General features: G+C 41.3%; 1 protein-coding gene across 5 annotated transcripts in view; it reads left to right on the forward strand.

Moving 5' to 3' along the window:
* LYPD6 (LY6/PLAUR domain containing 6) overlaps nucleotides 1-16,592 on the forward strand; it is a 156,394-nt gene extending 139,802 nt beyond the window's left edge. For 4 of the 5 annotated variants that reach the window (NM_001195685.2, NM_194317.5, XM_024452699.2 and 1 more), the window contains one exon: nucleotides 897-4,352. In NM_001195685.2, coding sequence (NP_001182614.1) covers nucleotides 897-1,064 — 168 coding nt within the window. In that variant the 3' untranslated portion in view covers nucleotides 1,065-4,352. Of the gene's footprint in view, nucleotides 1-896; nucleotides 4,353-16,476 lie in introns of those variants that run through there. The other variant, XM_047443400.1, reaches the window with a different exon arrangement.
* The last annotated feature ends 3,852 nt before the right edge of the window (nucleotides 16,593-20,444 follow it).

Below are 20,444 nucleotides of genomic sequence, written 5' to 3' on the forward strand. Positions count from 1 at the left end.
ACAGCTGGTAAGTGACAGGCACAGAATTCCAACTCACCTCTGGTTTGGAGTCTACCTCCGCAACATTATACTGACTTCCTGGCACGTGTCACTGTGACTAAAGACTCAAATCCCTGCAGGAAAATGACTGTATAGAATGTTATTAATAACCATCCTATGACTAGGAATCACCTGGGAATCTTGTTAAAATGTAGTCCTAATTCTTTGTCTGGGGCAAGGTTTGAGATTCTGCACTTGTAACAAACTCCCAGCTGATGTTGGAGCTGCTGGTCTGTACTTTGTGTAGCCATGCCCCAAGAAAGTTTTTGTCACTAACTCTGTGGGTTTATTTCTTTCTAATGATCCACGAGTAAGGTGGTGTAAAGCAGGAGTAACTGCATGAATGAAAACCCTTCAAACATTAACTCACCCAATGAGAATGGAGACACTTATGCAAACAGTTCTGTGAAAGTCAGTACTCAAGTTTAAACCACCCGGGTTGTTGCCACTTGACTCTCACTTGAAAACTTGGCAAACGAAGGCTTACCCTCTCTTCCTCAAGTAGTCAGAAAGAGCCTCATGGAAAAACACGGACGAGTTTCTTTATTCCCATTTTAAGGGCGAAAGAACTGAGGCCCAGGAAGGCTATACACCTTTGTAAGAATCGTATGGGTGGAGGGTGTCAAAAACAAAACCTAGCTCTCTTGAAGTTTGGCCTGGGGAGTTTTCATGTTGACCAGATTGCTTCTAGAAGAAATATTATCCCCAGCCTTCCTGAACGTAGAGTTGGCATCTCCTTTATAGATTAGGTAATTTTTACTTGCATCTTGCCATGTGGGCGACAGTGCCTTCAAAAACCCTGCCTCCTTCCAAGACATGCTGGCTTCTCATTATCTTTTTTTCTTCCTTTCTTTCAGGTCTGCACTTCTTGTTGTGAAGGAAATATCTGTAACTTGCCACTGCCCCGAAATGAAACTGATGCCACATTTGCCACGACGTCACCTATAAATCAGACAAATGGGCACCCACGCTGTATGTCAGTGATAGTGTCCTGCTTGTGGTTGTGGTTAGGGCTCATGTTATAGTGGCTCAGTGGCTCCATGTGTTAATAGCGATCCATGGGGATCTCGATGGTCCACAGACCTGCATGAGTCATTGGCCTGACAGTAATTACACATGTGAGACACAACACTCTTGGAGGTCATCACAGCCAAGCATTGCCACTTACCATGAGGAATAAATGTTGCTTCATTGTAGCCATTTTGAGTCTAACCGAGACTCATCAAAGCCTTCTGTCAGTACAGCCCAAGTTCCATACCATAAACGTTTGTTTTCATTCCAAGAAGTAGTTCTGCATTTATCGAGATCTGGGGTTCTTAATTTGGAAGAATACATGCATGAGATGCAGTAGGTCCTGAGACTGTAAGATATTAGGAGTATGTTATAGGGGCATGTATAGATGTGGGCTTTTCAGGAGAAAAGTAACCATTGGTTTAAATATAATCATGAGTTCATTTGTAGCTTTAGAATTTTAAAACATTGACTCCAAACTGAATGGACTATTTCCTTGGAAATTCTGACTGAGTCCCTGGAAGAGTAGTAATTCCAACAATTCCAGCCATTTGTTCAATTAATTTTCCCAACATTCTTCTCCCAGTGCTGGGAATCACATTTCCTCTGTTCTGTGCAGAAGACAAAAAGGCAATCATAAAAGTTTGTTATATTTGTGGGGGTGCCTGGAGGAGGATTTTCCTCAACTTAATGGAGCCACTGTCCATAAAGTGGCTGTTATCCCTTCATATAATTGGTGAGATCAGCCTTCTCCTTGACTTGGCACCTAATTATGCTTCATGAGATCCTAGATTCCACCTGAGTCAATTGTGTCCAGAGCCCCAAACCAGGATGGAGTTGTTTTCCCCAGATATGGGGTTCTATTCAGCCATAGATAATCTAGACAGAGGATTTCAGAATGAAAGGAAAAATGTGTGGAGATTAGTCCTAGTTCATTCTGAGGGCCGACTAAGTGGCTCAGCCAGCTTCTTACTCCATCTGCAGTTCATACTGCCAAAGAGCTCCCACTTCCAAATCCCCAGTGACTTTATGGAGAAGATTCTGCATTAAATTGTCTTTCGAATGATGGGGAAGCAAGGCATAATATGCGATGATGAGGAGAAAGTAGACCAGTGAGGTGATTGCAAGACTAACAAGGAGACTCAATGGGAAGTTTTTCTTTCTTTTAGATATTGCTTTTGAAGTAGATGGTAAAATTTTTGTCATCCTTCTTGTATTTTTTGTACCCCAAGTTACAATTTTTCTTCTTCCTTGTAAATAATTTAAACAGTATTTATTTTTGTAAGGCATAACTAGAAACTAAAATATATTCTAAAAAATTCATTATTCTGAACAAAGTGATCAAATTAGAATACATATTTTTCAACAGTGGTAGAGCTTTTAATATATGTTTATTGAAAGTTATCTATAATACTTGCACCAGTGTTGAAAAAAGTTAACATGTAGGCAAGAGCAATATGTTTGTCTCAAGGATTTTTCCATGGTTTCCTCAGTGATGGTGTCCTGGAATTATTCAGGTGGTGACCATCACTGGTCTAAGTTTGTGTGCAGGGTTTTCAGATGTGTTTTTGTGAAACTTGGTAGAACCATGGCTAATAAAGAGGACAGTGTTGTCAGGGTCCATCTGCCCTCCATAGAAAAATGTCTCTGGCTCATAAAATGAGACTCCCTCAGGGACTAAATATGAACTGACAGCAGTAACTCTGATACAGAATAATCTAAATTGCATCAAATGGCCTTAATTCAGAGTTTGTTAGGCTTATCAGTATGTTGCTTTTAATTGGGGTGGGAAAGTAGAGGGAGAGAAAGCAAGACATTTATTAAGCACCTCGTATGTGCCAGGCACTATGCTAAGCACTTTACATAAGTTAGGATTAATCCCTGCAAGAATCCTATAAAGAATGTTACTAGCATTTACACTTCCCAAATGAAGGTACCAAAGCTCAAACGCAATGTTGTGAAGCTGTTTCCTTCAGATTTAGGTTATGTGGGATGATGTGGGATTGAAGAGGAAAGAAAGGTGGGATTATCCCCCTAGGAAGACTTTCAGGCCTGACTTCATAGGAATTCATCCATCTTATCATGTGGAGTTTATCTCACCCTGCTGTTGCAGGATGCTATTTGCATGTGTCCCCAGGTGATGTTTTTTCTTTGGGGAGTAGGGGTTTGGCTTCCTCATTCATCCCTCTTGCTAAAAGAGGAGATAGTTGATGTTGCATCTAAAGATGCTATAAGACAATGAAAGTTTGATGTTGTACATACCTACAAGTACCATTTTTGTGCATGATTACACTCCACTGACATCTTCCAAGTACTGCATGTGATTGAATAAGAAACAAGAAAGTGACCACACCAAAGCCTCCCTGGCTGGTGTAGAGGGATCAGGTCCACAGTGGTGCAGATTCAACCACCACCCAGGGAGTGCTTGCAGACTCTGCATAGATGTTGCTGCATGTGTCCCATGTGCCTGTCAGAATGGCAGTGTTTAATTCTCTTGAAAGAAAGTTATTTGCTCACTATCCCCAGCCTCAAGGAGCCAAGGAAGAGTCATTCACATGGAAGGTCCGGGACTGGTCAGCCACTCTGACTTTTCTACCACATTAAATTCTCCATTACATCTCAATATTGGTAATGGCTTAAGTGTAAAGAGCCATGATGTGTATATTAAGCTATGTGCCACATATTTATTTTTAGACTCTCCACAGCATTCATGTCAATATGGGATTAATGCCTAAACTTTGTAAATATTGTACAGTTTGTAAATCAATGAATAAAGGTTTTGAGTGTATCTTACCAGGCTCCTCCCTGCAAATGCACATGTCAATCAATGATTAATGCACCCAGGTTATGTACAAGGCACTGGGCTTAGCACCACAGGGAACTTCCTTCCAGAGGCTTGCTTTCTAGTTGTGTAGACAAGAATACATGCATGAGAAGATACAAGACAATTCACCCATGCCAAATGATTCATACAGGCTGTTTAAGTACTGCAGAAAATAAAAGAAGGAAAGGCTACCAGACTTTTCAATAAGGTCTACAGCTTCCCAAGAGCATGTCTTTGTTAAATCAGGAAATATAAAAATTATGTGTGTATGTGTATGTATATATATATACCACCCTATTAACTATTTTAAAATCGTATTCTATTTTGGGGGTTGTGTTAATGATGATGAACCAGAAAAGATTTTCTCTTGATGGTTTCTTCAACAGGAAACAGATATTGGAATAGTGTACATGTCATTTTTATCTATACAATGAATTTATTATATTTTTCTTAGTAAAGTGATAGACATTGAAAGCAAGCTTGAAAAATGTCAGTTTGTTTGTGATTCCTGATTATTCTTCTCCTCCTCTTTTTTTTTGTTTCGTTTTTTTGAGACAGCAGGGTCTTGCTCTGTTGCCCAGGCTGGAATGCAGTGTCACCATCATGGCTCACTGGAGCCTCAAACTCCTGGGCTCAAGTGATATCCTCCTGCCTCAGCCTCCCGAGTAGCTGGGACTACAGTATAGGCATGTGCCACCACACCTGGCTAGGTTTTAATGAAATGTCTTGCAGAGACAGGATCCAACTATGTTGCCCAGCCTAGCCTCAAACTCTGAGGCTCAAGCAATCCTCCTACCTCAGCCTCCCAAAGTTCTGGGATTATAGGTGTGAGCCACTGCACCCAATCTCTGGTTATTTAATTACCTATGTTTTGAAATTTCCAGGGAAATCTTTTCCACAAACTTATATGTTTTCTCTTGGTCTGAATCAGTGACACAGTTGGTCACTGATGCTCCTTAAAGTGTGGTACTTACATGAAGATAGCTCTTATTGCTGATCTCCGTGGATAGTTCTGTCTTTAATGTAAGTGGTATTGCAGGTGGACTGTGCTTTTAGAAAATTTGATTTTGAAGATACAGACTTACATGTTTACTTAATGTGGGTTTTTTGTTTGTTTGTTTGTTTGAGACAGAGTCTCACTCTTGTCGCCAGGCTGCAGTACAATGGCATGATCTCACACTTACTGCAACTTCTGCCTCCTGGATGCAAGCAATTCTCCTGCCTCAGCCTCCCAGGTAGCTGGGATTACAGGTGTCTGCCACCACGCCCAGCTAATTTTTGTGTTTTTAGTAGAGACGGGGTTTCACCATGTTGGCCAGGATGGTCTCAATCTCCTGACCTCACGATCCACCCGCTTTGGCCTCCCAAAGGGGTTTTAAAAGAAATTCTTCACTTTATAAATGTATTTCATATCCCTTTCCTAACACATTTTTAAGATTTTATTTACAAACAAAATTTAGGGCATGCGAGCTCTATAAAAGTTAGAAGTGGTGCCTTGGCGGTGTTACAGTATCTTTTATCTGAAATACTTAGAGCACTTACAAATGTTTTAATAACTTTCCTTTAACTTACCTACTAGGAGTGAAGTACATGAAAACACTGAGAATCTGTTATGAATCTCATTGTAACTGGGGGCACTTGAACTTAAAGATTCAGATATTTTTCTAAGATTGCACAGGAACTTGGGGCAGGACTAAGGCATGGACATGAAGCATCATGACTTCACCTTGGGGCACTCTTCACTGGAGTCTACTGAAAATGGGCCTATGATTTTTTTAAAAAAATATAAACATTTCTGACATAATTTGGTGTTACAAAACCAACGCAAATTTCCAAAGTGTCTTTCAAATGAAGCCTTCACTTTCAGCAGTTACTCTGTCTAGCTCTTGTAAAAAATTATGGCCTTTCTCATTAGCAATTACTATTGTCTTGCTGTTTATTATCTTTGACAAATTTTAACTCCATTGCAATTGCTGGAATTGGATTGGGGGACCTCTACATAGCTGTATTTGAAACTGGGTAGAGACCTAAAATCTAGAGCCTAAGAAATTTATCTGGGGTCCTCTTTTCTATTACCCCAGTAGAATGATTTTTCTATATGACTTTATTTGCAAAGCAGTTTTATATACCTTGCTTCGGTTAATCAGCATGACCCCATTTATAGCTTTCATAGATAAAGCTTTGGAGTGGTTTTGGGAGGCCCCACTGGTAGTTTATACTACAAGGATTTTGATCCCTGATCCAGGATTCTTTGTTCCACACACATGTCACAAGGGTGACATGCATAATGGCCTCATCCTTCTCTGGCATTTTACTAGAAAGCCATTTCTCAGGTCACAAAGTTAGAGTGAGTAGAACCTTAGAAAACATCTAGTCTACCTGCTTAGATTTATACAGGAGAGAAAAGAACCCTGGAGAACTCAGATCATTTGTCTCTGAGCATGCCATATTGCTTTTGTTACAACTCATCAAAATGTCCCTTCTTTGGTGCTCAGAGTAATTAAGACATGGCTGATAGAAAACAATTTAGAGGCCTCCTCTCCCTTTACTGTGGGATTGGCAGTCTTACGAGGACCATCATGGTAGTGAAGGGTAGAGAATAAAAGGGCAAGCTTTTGCAGGACAGCAAGCTAGCCTAATGGAAACAGATTTTTCATTCTAATATGAGAAGAAAAATATTCTGGGAAAATAATCATTTTCAGAGTCATGGCCTAAAAAGGTAGAATGATGTGTCTAAATTAGACCTTATCAGTTATTCAGAAGTAGTTTTCTCGGGGTTTATGGCATGTCCCATGTCAGAAACTGGCCTCCCAAAACCGTGTGTTGTCTCTATGCTCAGAGTTCAGGCCTCCATTGATGTCCTCCTGGGGAGGTGACAGGGCTTGTGTTGTCTAAGTGGGGAAAGTGTATCTGAAAAGCAACTCTGTTGGATTTAGGCAAAATGAACAAAATGCCACCAGGATGTAGCCATGATGCAAAGAGAAGGGCTAAAAATAAGCCATGCTCTCAATAAATCCATTCATCTTTGAGAAGAATTCAGAATAGACTTAGTGTCTTGCTCCTCTTCCATCTACAGAGGAGCGTGACTGTTTGGGTCCTATGGAATTTGCACCCGGAGTCTGAGCACATGCCATCCGCCTCCCCACTGGTGTGCACCTGGCGATGGCTACTGGTCCAACTTCTCAGCTACCTCCTGGCTAAGCTTTCCCCTGACCCTAGCTTCTCCCAGCCATAAAGAAGGTCTGTGAACAACGAGCAACCCACATCACACAGTGGCGTGTGAAGACCAGTTGTTTGGGGAGAGGGATCATGCTTGAGAAGCTTGGCACTGAGGTGCGTTGGGTGGAAAGGGGCTGAGTAGATGTCAGTGGTGGGAGAGAACACTTCTGGACTCACTCATGACTCAGCCTGGCTCAGTCCTGGCACATGTCAGCACTGGGTTTATCCCTACCTTTAAAGGCTTTAAACATTCAAAGCGTTGGGCCCATCCTTGACTTTAATATGTTTAATTACTTAATAACCTTGTGTATGTTTTGCCACTGCCCTAAATACCAAGTGTGCTGTGTAGAGACACATTCTCCTTGATGCAAGACAGCCTGAGACCACGTGAGATGTGCCATCAGACCTCCCATGAATGCCCTTTCTTTAAAGTCAGATCATCTTGAAAAAACTGAAAGGTCAGCCGGGCGTGGTGGCTCACGCCTACAATCCCAGCACTTTGGGAGGCCAAGGAGGGCAGATCACCTGAGGTCAGGAGTTCGAGACCAGCCTGGCCAACGTGGTGAAACACTGTCTCTACTAAAAAAACAAAAATTAGCCAGACGTGGTGGCACACACCTGTAATCCCAGCTACTTGGGAGGCTGAGGCAGGAGAATCGCTTGAATCTGGGAGGCAGAGGTTGCAGTGAGCCGAGATTGTGCCACTGCACTCCAGCCTGGGTGACAGAGCAAAACTGTGTCTCAAAAAAAAAAAAAAAAAAAAAAAAAAGAAACAACAACCCTGAAAGGCCTATTTGGAGTATTTAGGAAAAAAGCATAGTGGTGTGTTTCAGCCAGGTTATATCTGAGGATCTTGAAAACAACCAGAGTATAAGTCTGGCTTCTGATTAGAGGTGAGAGAAGACTCCCCAGGAAAAATAATATTTAATCCAATACTTGGAAAATGAGAAGGTGTCAGGCTAGTGAAAAGAGTCCCCTGCTCAGATAGGCATCAAAAGGTCACGGATGTGGACTTTTAGGAAAGCTGTGAGATCAGTCTTGAGAGAAATTGGTAATTAGCTGTAGGTAAATATAACTTGCCAATAGACCTGTCCATGATTAATTTTTATAGATTGGTCTTCACTAAGGCTGCTTCTGTGATTATTATTGTTCATCTTTGACGGTTGTAGCCCTTCCAGTCTGTTAGCTAGTATCTGCCTGTTAGAATCACCTGGGGTAGGGGAGCTTCCAAAAATTACCTGATGTTTTAGAGCACTCCAGACCAACTTGATTAGCTGGGCTCATAACCACCTTAATTTTAAAGACAGTGGGACAGCAAGGGCTTCTCTTCATACTCATCTCAAGAATTCTGGAGTACCAAGGCAGCCTACTAGGAATATGATTTTCACTAGGGTCCTCAGAGCCCCTGTTCAGTGGTTCTGTCAACTAAACAAATAGGGCAGACAAATACTGCCCCAAATTCTCAGAAGACAGGGAATTCACCCTTTGGTATATAGAGGTGTGTGTGTGTGTGTGTGTGTGCGCGCACGCATGTGTGGTTTTTTTTATTTTTTATTTTTTTAGAGACAGGGTCTCACTCTGTTGCCCAGGTTAGAGTACAGTGGCACAGTCATGGCTCACTGCAGCCTCCGATTCCTGGGCTCAAATGATCCACCTGCCTCAGCCTCCTAAGTAGCTAGGACTACAGGTGTGTGCCACCACACCTGGCTAACTTTTTACTTTTTTGTAGAGATGGGGTCTTGCTATATTGCCCAGACTGGTCGAAAACTCCTGGCCTCAAGTGATCTGCCAGCCTCAGCCTCCCAATGTGCTGGGATTATGGGAATGAGGCACTGCACTTGGCTCTGGAAATGAACATTTGGTTCAGTCTAGGAAATGCCTCTTTTGAGCACAACTCTGGATACTTTTACTTTATTTTTCCACCTGCTACCTGGGGCACTTCACCCCTGGTACTTACATGAAGGGAATGATAAAGTTGAAAGAACTGGATCTGTCCCACCCACATTCACACATCATAAAAGCAAAACAAAGGAAAATTGACCTAAACCCTAATTCTCCATCCAGCTACCCCCTCTCTTTAGTACCCTCTACAGCCAAACCTCTTGAAAGACTTTTGTGCTCACTGACCCGATTTCCTCACAATCCACTCACTCTTTATACCAGTCCAGTCTGTCCTCAGGCCTCACAGTGAATTCACTGAATTCACTAATGAACGACAAGCTGCTCAGCCCAACAGTCACTTCTCAGTCCTCTCCTCACCTAACTTCTCAGCTTCGTTCAACACTTCGTCTAGTCCCTCCTACTTGAAATACTTCCATTGGCTTCCATGAACCACCCACCCCAGAAGCTTTCCTACTTAGAAAACCTGCCTTCTATACAAATTTAAATGTCAGAGTTCCTCGAAATTTGGTGCTAAAGTTCCTCCCCATTCTATAATCTTTCCTAGGTGATTCTTCCATGCCTGTTATTTAAGTTTCCAGCCATTTGTCAGTGGCTGACAAATAATCTCTCCCCCTCAGACTCCTTCTATGAATTCTAGAATGCTCTCCCCAAATTATCTACTCAACATTTCATTTGTAGGACTTCTCAAACTCAAGCACCTCCGTTGTAAGAGTGACCAAAACCAAATGTATCATCCACTCCCAGGCTCACCTCGTCTAGTGTCCCCATCTCAGTGAACAGCATTGACATCATCTGGTTGTGTGGACCAGAAACCTGGGTTTCTCCTTCACACTTCCCTCTACTTCACCTCCCAGGTCTAATCTACCGTCAAATCCTGTCAATTTTTTCTCTTTCAAGTCTATCCACTCCTTTCCATGTCCAATTCCACCCCTCTGGTCCCAGCTATGATCACATCTTTCCCAGCATCCTTATTGATCTCACCCATCCCTTCTTGCCCTATTTCAATCCATTTTTCATAGCTAGAAGTAGACTTTGAAATGCAAACCTGATTAAGTCACCCATCTGCTTAATACCATTCAAGAATTTCACATTGTTCATGGGGTGGAAAACAATGCCCTCTCTATGGGCCAGCAAGTCCCCCTGCACTGGCCACATAGCCTTCCTCCATGGCCTCACACCTGTTACATGCCCTTTGACTTGAAAGGTACCTGCCACTCTGCTTTCCTTTTTTCTCTCTCTTTTTTTTTTTTTGTTTTGAGATGGAGTTTCGCTCTTGTCACCCAGGCTGGAGTGCAATGGCTCACGTCAACCTCCGCCTCCCAGGTTCAAGCGATTCTTCTGCTTCAACCTCCCAAGTAGCTGGGATTACAGGCATGCACCACCACATCTGGCTAACTTTTGTCTTTTTAGTAGAGACAGGGTTTCACCATGTTAGTCAGGCTGGTCTCAAACTCCTGACCTCAGGTGATCAGCCTGCCTCAGCCTCCCAAAGTGCTGTGATTACAGGCATGAGCCACCACGCCTGGCCTCTGCTTTTCTTTTCTTTGAACACTGTGCTCCCTCCAGCCTCAGCTCTTTGCACAGTGTTCTTTCCTCTGCCAGGTGTACTCTTCACCCTCTCTCCATTGACCTGGTAACCCCCTTTATACCCTCCATATCTCAGCTCATTATCACTTCCTCAAGAACATCTTCCCTGACACCCCCAAATTAGATCAAGTCCCCTTGTTGCCCACTCTCATGGGACCCTGAACTTCCTTTCACAGTGCTTTTCAGTTTGTCTTCCTGTGTGTGGGGGGGTGTTTGTGTCTGTAATATCAGTGCCTGGCTCTCCTTCTAGCTCTAAGTTCCATGGGGCCAGGACCATTGTCTGCTTTGCTCATCACTTGCAGTGTTATTGCCGTGCACCACCCAGATTTCCCTTCAGGAATGATTGTTTCCTCGTTGTTGGGGGAGCGTTGCCCCAGCAGCCCTCTGATAGTAGTCCTCCTCGTGAAGTGATGGGGCTGAAGAGAGTTGCCTCACCCAAGGCCATGCCCCCTTCCCTAGGCAGCCCCTACATGCAGTCATGGAGCAAAGTAAGAATATAAAGGCCCAGCCCCCATCACCTACCTCAGACACCTTTGAAGGCATATCCCATCTTCAGAGCTCACGTGGGGTTGGCTGTGGCTTCACTGAAACTTCATTGCAGCCCAGCTCCCCTCTCTGTTCAAGCCTGCATCTGTCACCTCCCTTCCACAAGTGTCGATGCCAAGAACAGTCCCTAATCAGTCTCTTGCACACTAATCTCCATCTCAGAGCCTCCTTCTCAAGAGTCCTGACCTATAGCAATACATATTCCCAGCATGGAGAATAGTGCCTGGAACATAATAGGTGTTTGGTAAATGTGTGGAGTAGACCCATAAAATGAGGAAGAAAGAGTAAGGGGCAATCTCAAGGCATCACAGCTAGTAAGTGACACAACAAGAGTTAAAATTGAGGTTGTGCTTCTGCTAGTCCTGGCCTACTTCTGACACATCTTCATATATTTAATCTTGCACTAAAAAATGTATAATGTCAAAGCCGTAAAACTAGCATCTCTTGCTGGTTGCAACATAAATTGTTAAAGCTCTTTCACAAAGCAATTTGGCAGTATGTGTTGAGTGCTATGAGAATGGACATATTCTGACCCCATAATCCTACTTCTGTAAAGTGGCCTGAAATATTAGAAACACTGTTATGAACAAATTTGTTCCTTGAAGCATTATTTGTAATTACAAAAACAAAACAAAACAAAACAAAAAACAAATCGTGACAATGTAAATACATGAAAGTAAGGGAATAGTTAAGTCAGTAACAGCACATCCACTTGATATACTATCAACAAAAATGATTGCTCTAAAGACATTTTCAAGTCAAATGAGAATAGTGCTAAAGCCATATGTTCAATGTGTCATACTATGTAGGAAGCAAATATGTACATTAAAAAATGCTTGGAGAAAATAAGCCAAAATTCTCTCATTGTTTATGTTATGGTAATAACTTTTTTCTTTTAAAAAAATTTTCCAATTTTATGCAATGTGGTTATATTACTTTTATAATGAAAAACATAAATATAATAAATGGTTAAGACTATATATGTTAAGTTTGTGGTTGTTATTACTTTAGGGGTTCCTCAGAAGTGTTGCTTTTAGCCCAGATCAGGGCTCAGACCCTGGGAGCCTGGTTCCCAGCTGTGGCTGCCCAGTGCAGTCCCTGGATAGCTTTAAAATCTACCAATGTTGGAATCCTACCCCCAGAGATGCAAATTGTACTGATCTTGGATGAGATAATCTGGAGAAAATGACTTTAAAAAATTATTTCTTTTAAAACTACTTACTTTAAAAAAAATTCCAAACTTATAGAAAAATTTCAAGACACATTAATTTTTAAATTTTGCCACATTTGACTTATTCTCTTTGTCTCTAATAATATAATATTATAGTTTGTCTTCTGAACCGTTTTAAGGAAGGTTACAAACACAATGCCTCCTTACCCCTTAATACTTCAGCATTTCCTAAGAACAAAGATATTCTCTATCATAACCAGAATGCAGTTACAAAAATCAAGAAATTTAACATAGACACAACAGCTTATTATCCATATTCTAATTCTAAGACAAGCATTTGACGAAGAAGGTAGTTATTATGGAGGAACTGGCTTTCTTCTCATTGTTACTCTGGTTACACAGACCATCAGCTACAAAGCAGCAGGAATCAGCCCTTATACCAGGAGTCAGACCTGTCCTTTCTCATGTTTCTTCAGACCCCTTCCATTCTCTGAGCTCCCATATATCATTCTAGCCAGTCCCCTTTTATTCCAATAAAGTTTTATGTTAGCTAGGGTCAGTTTCTGTTGCTTGCCACCAAAGAACCCTGCTGGTTTAGGGTAGTTGAGCTGGGATTGTTCCTAGAATACTTGAGTTCTTCACGTCTTTAAGCTTACTGGGCTGTTCTAGGACATTCCCCCTCTCCTTTTTAGGACACAAAATGCTTCAGGATACAGAAACTGGTGGAAGACAAGTATCATTCCTGTCCACAGGAGATCTGACCACACCTGACCAGGGCTCCAAGGATCAAATCCTGACTTAAGAAAAATCCTGGAAGGCTGAGACTCTGAGCAGAAAGCATTGCTAAAAGCTGCTGATCCCAAGACCAGAGGAAGCCATGGCCAAGGACCTCCTGCAGACACGGGACTCCAAAGGTGACTACTTCAGTTCCCTGTGTCTGGAGAGTCCCCTGGATGAGAGCCCGGTGGAGGTTTGTCAAGATTGCATCTGTCATGGACACCCCTTCAGGTCTTAGTGGAGGGAAACCAGTTGTCTGTGGACCCCAGGGGACCCACTGGCCTCCAGGCAGGATGTCAGGAGCCTGCCTTTGTCTGGCACTCCAGCATTCTGGCATTCAAGTGCAGGGCTTTTGCCTGCTCCACGATAAGAAAACCTTTGACCAGGGAACTTCTGTCTGGGCAAGTCTGCTCAACTCCAGGAGTTGTGGGCTGCATATTTCCCTGGAGGAAAAAAAGATGCTGAAAAATGCATTTTCTGCCTCTCTGCTTCTCACTCTCTAATCTATGTTGATTGCGTATCTGGGACTGTGCTAAGAAGGAAGAGAGGTTTTAATGCTCCCATTGAATACTAAAGCATGAGAAGGTCTCTCCTTCCGCTCTCTTTCTCTTGACCTCTTCCTTCTTTCAGAAGTTTCTGACTCACTGGTCAAGAATTATTTAGAAGACTCTAAATGGGAAGAAGGCTTAGACTCAAATTCTGACTGTAAATAAATGCAATTGAGGAGGTGAATATATGCTATTTGCAGTTGGTTAAAAAAAATAGATTTTAAATGTTCTCACTGCAAAAAATTGATAAGTCTGTTAAGTGATGGATATGGTAAGCAGCTCGACTTAATCATTCACAATGTAAGCATATATCAAAGCATTACATTGCAGCCCATAAATTATACAATTATTATTTGTCAATTAAAAATAGAATTAAATTTAGAAATTTTTGAAGTATACTTTTTTTCTGAAATGCTATTGAACCTAATGGCACATTTTACAATCAGTGCCAGAATAAATAAATCCAGAAAATGTGGTGTATATCATAGTGACAAGAGAGAACTGTAAAATGGAATAAGCATTAGCTTGGGATCAGCAGGCTAGGTCTCAAGTCATGGTTCAGCCACCAAAAAGCGAAGTGACCTCAGTTAAATTTCTTCACATTGTGTTGAGGCTCAAAAGAGATCATGGAAAGCTCTTAACTCTGGGCACACAGTGAGCTTACAACAAACGTTAATAGATTTGTGTATGGGTTGCTCTCTTTCAACTGCTTATTAAGTTTCCACTTACTTGAATTGGATAAACCTATAGTACTGTCAACTGATTTAGGTTGAAGTTTACCAAACTGTTTGACATTTCAGATTGTAGAGAAATGGATTAGAATAGCAAGGGACCCAATGTGACTCTTTTGGTGTGGACTGATTATCCCTATCCTGTACCTTATTGAAAAATAAGTGATCTAGTGTCAATGCCAGAGGACTGCAGCTTGCAGTTATGGCTGGGGTATGTTTAATTTTACACAGGAATTGTCATGATGCCACGGCTTCTGTCCAGTGGAAAATCCTTTTCAGACTAAACACTAAGCATAGATTTAAAATGTCTTCCATGAGAATAGAGAGGAGAAAGCTTGGATCCTATGGAAAGACCATAAATGGCAGAGAAAATTCAGATACAAACACAGACCTTCCTAGCTCCATAGCTACCCCCGTAGTCCATGCACAGCAATCCTTCAGAACCTGGTGGATGCAGGCAAAGCTTTCCTTAGAAATTAATGTGTCAAGGTGTTTGGGCTGTTCTTTGAGCAAATGAATAAGCAAGGATTAGAAATGGAATTCCAAATCAAGAAACGAACATTCCAGCTCAGGCCAATCCTAGTGGGACCAAAACAAGGTAAGATAAAAAGAAGCACACCTAAATCAAACCAGTTGTAATGAGCAAATGAGTAATTTAGGTTAAAAAAAAAGGGATCAACAACTGCAAAAAGGTACTGCGTTTTTGGTGTTATTTTTTCCCTGTATCCCTCTAAGGATATCTTTAGTACTGCCCATGCCCAGACCACACCAAACCAAAGGTGGCAAAACCCAACAAAAGTTGGAAACTTAGCAATCTCACAACATCTACTTCTTAGCCTTGTTCTGTTTCTTGTCTTGGGATATCTGATATCCAGCCACAGTGTTTTGACTATGCATGTGGAGTGCCTGATATTAAACCTTCCATAAAGAGCCCTGTTAATTGGGTCATCACGGGCCCCTCAGCACAAGCCAAAAGGATTCGTAGCACAAGTGATCATAGTTAAGGGCCAGAGAGGAATGAAATGTTTACATCTTGAGATGGAGAAGGGGAGGGCATTCCTTATGCTCCTGAGGGGAGAAAATTTTGTACTTCTGTAATAAAATGGTACATTGGTAGACTAAAGAAAAGCAAGTTTTTACTCAGCATGAAACTGAGTAGAGTAAGGCACTGGAAAAAGCATTAAGGTGAATCACAATTGCAACTTTCTTATCAATTTAGTACACCTGTTGAGGCTAAAGGGTTGCAGATAGAGCAAGGATTGCAGTTGAAAGGGAATTGCTTTCAGGCGTTTGGAGGACAGTGATGTGGAATGCTCTGTAAGTACTCATTGCCATGTTGCATTGCTGGTCCTGTGCCACATGCTTTCCTCTCTACCTGTGAGCCATTTAGGGATTGGAAACATTTTTTCTAAGCTGTCAGCATATGTGGACCTGGAATTCTCACTCTCCAGGTCATGAAACCTGCTCTGTTTGTCTGACGCTGAGCCAGTGACTTTGGATCCTGCCAGAGCCCAGCAGCTCATCCTGTATTAATAGCACGGCAAGTCTTATGGGGTAGAGTTTCCATATTTATAGGTTTTATCTTTTCAAAGCATTTTAAGATAATTTCATTCCCCTAATGGCCCTGTCAGAAAGGTGAGCTCAAAATTAGCCCCATTTGAAAGATGGGAACATTAAAACACAAAATGTACATGGGAAGCACAATATGGAGCCAGGTTCTGCAGGCAAAGACACTATGGCCTAAAGGAGCCACCTAATCCCGCCAGACCTCAGGGTCACCAACTGGTGAAGGAGTAGACATTGAATCAGGGGTTTTAAAACATTTCTGGCTGCCATTCATCCTAATAGTTTGTAGTGTGACTCAATGCACATATTTCTAATGTATATAAAAATGCAACTGAAATACATTTCACAAAAAGATATAGACCTTCACAGTATTCATTATTATATTACACTTGAATATTGTCTCTATTCCATTCTGTTCCAGTTTACTATTTTTTAAAAGTCTTAATTTCAACACACCAATATTGATTTCATGACTCCACTAATGGGTTAAAACTTATAGTTTGAAAAACAGTGAACTATGTGATTATTAATGATCCTTTCAATATTTATTTCCAGTTATATACCTGAAGTCAAGAAATCAGGAACTCAATACCTGGTCTAAAGACCATGCCCCCTCACTGCTCAGGTGTTTCGATAAGGTAATGATCTCTTCCTGAATTATGAGTTCCACATTCACTCTTGTACTAACTCAAGTGTAGTCCTATAATCTTTCTGCAGTTCATTCGAATGTTTTTTGATGTGTTGATTAATTGTCTCACAAATATTCCTGTTTGAAAAGACAAATCTAGGTTCGGATTCAAGCTTCGCTAGTTAAAACACTCTCCCTAATCTTCTTCAATCTTCTGCTTGTAAAATGGGATAAATGAGCTTGTTGCGAGGGTCAGCCATCAGCAATGTAAGCCCATAGCATGTGCAGGTGCAGGCATGTGCGAGCATCAAATGAGCAGTCCTTTCTTGACGGGTGTGCTGGGCACTGTGCTGGCACTGGTGTGACAAAGACCATGACTTGGAATGCACCCCTAAGGGGCTCCGGTGCTTATCAGGCTCACCCTCTTTCTCTTTTTGTTTTGTAAACTGCCTTGAAAATTTACCAATATATCACATTTTTCTGTCAGCAAGTAGAACTGTAGGAAATAATTTTTAATGGTTGGTTAGTATTACATTTTATGATTGCGCCATAATTTATTTCATCATTTCCTCTTTCTTATTTTTTAGGTGTTTCTAGTTTTTTACTTTGAAAATCTTTTTATATAAAAGTAATGCATGAGCATTGAAATTTGAAATTGTTCTGTAGAAAAGTAAAACCATTCTCCCTTTCCACTCCATCTCTTCCCATTCTTCAGCAATAACTGCTATTAATAATTTCTTGAGTATACTTTTTAAATATTTTCTAATGCATATACAATTTTGCATGTATTTATATAATTATGTGAATGAATTCATATATACATGTAGAAAACAAGATCTGCAATATGCCTTTTAAAATTAGTACATATGGAACATCTTTTGCTGCTAGCACATGTAGATTCATTTTGTTTTCTAAGTGGCTGTATGTATTCCATTGTATAGATGGGCCATAATTTATTTAACTCATCCCCTACTTACTCAAATTCAGTGTGTTCTAAAAGTTGTGTCTAGATTTTGCTATTATAAACAATTATGCCATAAACATCTGTGCACCCTCTAGAGGTAACTGTGGGATAACTAATAGAAATGGAATTATTTTATGCGTTTATAGCTGTGTTCTATGTTACCAAGTTACCCTCTTGAAAGAGGTGCCAATTTAAGCTTATACCAACAGTGTATGAGAATGTCTGTATCTGCAAAGCCTCTCTAAACTTGGTATCCCATCAATATTTTATCTTTGAGATCTCTTTTTTTCTCATTTGGAAATATTAACAAGAATGTTTATGTTAACTCAGTGGAGAAAAGTCGGAGACATTTGGATAAGATGAGTTAATGCCCTTGCCCATTCTGGAATTATTTGGGAGGAAGGCTGCTCATGGGACAAGTCATTTTACCTTCCAGGAGAGATTCAACACTGGCCATTGACTATATGTGCAGCACACACTTCTTCTGAAGGCTTGAGGCATCTACCGTGTGACAGATCATGAATCAAATGACCTGCAAGCTTAGAGAGCCTTTCTCAGCCCTGCCACATGCAGCTATGTTGATGCTGATGTGACTGATTTTACTTCCTTCCCTTTATTCACCAACAGAGAGGTCGCTATCACACCACCAACTTCTGTTGCTTAGGTCCTGGCTTATGAAGAATAGACTCTGGGAGCACATTGGAAATCAACACTCTTGCCTTATGATGCAGGACAGATGCTGAAATTCTCTTAAGAGTAGCTTTATGATTATTTTCTTTGGAAACATGGATTAACTCACTTGCCATCTTCAGGCAGAAGAAAAACCTCATCCCCTCCCCACCCCACCCCATCCCTTTTAGATTCTGCAACTCTGTATTCTGAATTTTTGTTAAGAAAATCTACAAATTAGAAATATCATTTTAGGGACAATCAATATCAGGTTTCAATATAACAGCAACTGTTAAATAAGAGAAAATACCTACTTTCAAAGCCCGCATATCAATAAATAGTAATAATAAAGAAGTAGTAAAACTGGCTCAAGGAAACTAGCAGATTCAAATGAAAACTAGCAGATGATTCAAAACTAGCAGATTCAAATGACCAAATGTACACAGAAGCAGCAAGATTTCTATTGTTAAAATGTGACAAGGGACCTCAGAAATAATTAAACCAAACATCCTCAGTTCATTTGATAGAGGAGAACATGGATACACAAAGAGGAGATATGACTTATCCCAGGTCACATAGTAAGTTAGAGGCACTGTCGTGACCTATGATAATAGCAAATAAGAATGGCATGTTGAATTCTCAACAGCGTGTACATTTGGTATTGAAAGGGAATTATTTTTATGTACAGAATGCTCTTTTGTGAGCTGAAATAACGTCATGTATTGAATGCGCTAAAACCAAATGGATGCAATATCCAGTTTATTCTACATTTCCAGTGTTAATAGAGCATTTTAATCACTTTCTCTAGTCGAATTTCTTTCCTTCAGAGCAACACCCCTGCTGAGCACCATGTTTCCATGAAACGCTGTTGTTTTTTTCTCTGCAACTGTGAAACTCTTGTCTTGCTCCTCTGAAATAAGATAACCACAGGCAGGCTCTAGGCTACACCCACATTCTGGAAATATTTTATGAAAGGTTTTCCAACTTCCTAGAGAAGCTGCTGTTGTCGCTAATGGCAAAATCAACAGGGGGAAAAACACTTTAATTTGGGAAATTCTAGCACTTCCAACCAATGAGACTGGAAAGATAGGAAACAATCTGCTCTGCCCAAACAGCAAAGTTCTCCCTGGGAAGTTCAGTGGAACACGGCAGCTTGTCTTAGACTCAGAAAATTCTGGGTCTTTGGGATGAAAAAAAAAAAAATCAAAAGGCTTTTTGTCGGCTTGTGTACCAGAAACAGAACATTCACTACACGTGGGCTTGCAGAAGAAAAGAGGCCAACTCCGGGCACAGTTCCCTCCCACCTTCCACAGAAGCCGCTGAGCCGCACCCTGGTGCTTTCTGTGTGGGGCACAGTTTAGTTTATTATTATTATTAAACTCACTATCTGTCATCTTTCAGTAGGTTATGCCACGGTAGCCAACAACACTAAAAGCTTAGTGGCTTCAAAAAGAAAGGGTTTTTGTTGTTGTTGTTTTCCCTCCTTGCTCACACTATCAGCTGCAAGTTGGCACCATTGGTCTCCTTCATTCTGGAATTCAGGCTACAAGCGCAGCCTCTGTCTGGAGCATGCCATTCTCTTGATAGAGGGCAAAGAGAGCAAGATCGCTGTGGGGAAGCCACAATGCCTCTTAACACCTTCTGCTAGGAACACACACTTTCGCTTCCGGTCTCATTTCATTGGCCAAAGCAGGTCCCTTAGCCAAGCTGCTGTCAATACGGCAGCGCAGAGCAGCACACTCCCCCTCTCCTCCAACTGGGGACTCTGCAAGTCACGTGGCAGGGGCAAACCGAGTGGGGGAAGGGGCAGTGAACACTCGGGAACAACTGTGCTACCCACCATTCAGGTTAAGTCCCAGAAACGTTGCGCTCCTCAAAAATCAGAGGGGATGGGGCTCCTGCCTTTGACGTGTTCTGACCAACAGCTCTGAAGCCAAGGGGCATCAATATTAAGTCATGATTCTAAAAGTAGGGATGGGCTAAGGTCAAAGTTCATGGGAGGTGTGGTTTCACTCTATGCAACACGCATTACCCACCCGTCCCACCCTCGTCTTTTCCTCCTTACTGAAATAGGTAGGTTTGATGTGGTTTCTACGTTTTCCAAAATTGGACAAGATGGCAACAACAGAAAAATGTCAACAACAGAAAAATGTCTATTAGGATGTTTTCCATACGGCTGAGCCTTGGATTTTTTTTTATGAGGAAAAATGGTTTAAGTGGGTGATTTTGAGTGGTGGCTGTGAAAGAAAAATCCAATTTTGA

This window comes from Homo sapiens, chromosome 2 (genome assembly GCF_000001405.40).
Source record: "Homo sapiens chromosome 2, GRCh38.p14 Primary Assembly".
Taxonomy (NCBI): domain Eukaryota; kingdom Metazoa; phylum Chordata; class Mammalia; order Primates; family Hominidae; genus Homo; species Homo sapiens.